The sequence below is a fragment of the Homo sapiens genome, chromosome 7, assembly GCF_000001405.40.
Source record: "Homo sapiens chromosome 7, GRCh38.p14 Primary Assembly".
Taxonomy (NCBI): Eukaryota; Metazoa; Chordata; class Mammalia; order Primates; family Hominidae; genus Homo; species Homo sapiens.
The window spans coordinates 10421530-10423399 of NC_000007.14; positions in this window are offsets into that span (position 1 = coordinate 10421530).

Sequence of the window (1870 nt, forward strand, 5' to 3'; positions counted from 1 at the left end):
AAGAAGGGCTCAGTCTCTGTCTTTAAAAACTTCCTGGAATTTACTCCTAAAACTACTGCTGATATCTCATTTGCCAAATGAAAACATGTCCAAATCTTGCTACAAAGCTGAGAAACGTAATCGTTGGCTGTGGCAATGTGCTCAGCTAATAGCCTTATTCAGGAAGAAAAGGAGAATAGGTATGAGGAGGCAACAAAAAGTGCTACATTTAAGAAATAAACCGATGTATCAACCAGCGCTCAGAAGGAAAAAAAAAAAAAACACCTATATTCTGTCTTTCATAGACAGTAGAAAAAGTTCTATCTTTTTAATAGACGAGGACACGCAAATCTCACAATCCAAGCACTTGACATTAATTTTCATTGTATCTAAGGGTTGAAAGTCAAAATATTATGAACTATTGTGAATATGCCCAACCAAACAGATCAAATCTTCTGACATATCACAATGAATGCCAGCTATAAACAACCAGCATGGCTGTACTGGTACACACCAGGACAACAGAAACTCTGGATGCTTCCTTTTTAATCTAATGCCAGAGGTTTATATTTAAATTAAAAAGAGGAAGTTGTGATGGTGTTCCAGTGTGTTAGCCCAAGTTGTGTGACTCAGCCTAGCCACACAATTTGGGAAAGCTAGAGATTGCTAGAGGGTTTGGTAGGGCCAGGGGTCTTTTGTGTAAAGAAATTGGGTGGTTTCTTGGATGAAAAAATTATGTCATCTAGTAGCTGACAGCTAGCTCTCTATACTAAGAGGAACAAAGGCCCCTCTTTTGCCCCTACTCCTTACTCCGAGATACTACACAGAGGGAAGTTTATATCAATGGGAGGAAGTATCAAGGCATTAAATCTGACATGGATGGGACTTATGTATTTTGGGAGGGAGCTATCTGGCCCATTGAGATGCTTTGATATTGTTTCCGCAGGAAGAATTTATCATAAGCCTTGAGAGAGGAAATAAAATAAAAGCTTTGCCACTAGACTTTCTTTCAAAACTAGGGCACATAAGGCAGTAATACTTTGTAGCAAAATGCAGATGAAGAGGCAGCATTTTGCACTGGCCTATGAATTCTCTAGCTTCTGGAGAAGCTCATGCAGCATTACTGCCTTTTGGGGCAACCAAAGGAAAAGACGAATTAGTTTGAAAAAAATAACTCATGTCGAAGGCTATTGTCTGAGTTAGAAGCTGAAGCCACCAGCCTTCCCAGAGCAGATAAGCTGAGCTTCCTGAGCAATGGGTAGGCCTCATTCACCAATCTCATTCCAAATTCTGAAAAACTTTCATTATTAGGATTGTCAGACAAGTTCCTGTTTCTGTTGACTTATTTTTGTGTAAATAAATCTCAGTTTCCAAATGAAAAAAAAAATGGCAGTGTACTGGCTGCATGGGCTGTAGGTAGATTTTCCAGATGACTGTGACAGCAGAGATCCATTAGAATGGGGCAATACTTCTCCTTTCAGGACCAGGAATCCAAGAATCACATGGATGAAAATAAAGGAAAACAGCAATGTTAAAGACAATATCCAGGGATCCCACTTACAGCCAGGGATAGTTTTCTTTGGGGCTCCCTAAGACAACCCTTGGATTCAATGATTTGTTAGAAAGACACTGAATTTTTATTATATTTGTGGGTACATAACAGGTGTATATATTAATGGGGTACATGAGACGTTTTGATACAGGCATGCAATTGGAAATAATAACATTATGGACAATGGAGTATCCATCTCTTCAATCATTTATCCTTTGAGTTACAAACAATCCAATTACGCTCTTTATTTTAAAATGTACACGTAAGTTATTATTGACTATAGTCACTCTATTGTTCTATCAAATAGTAGCTCTTATTTATTTTTTCTGCTTTTTTTGG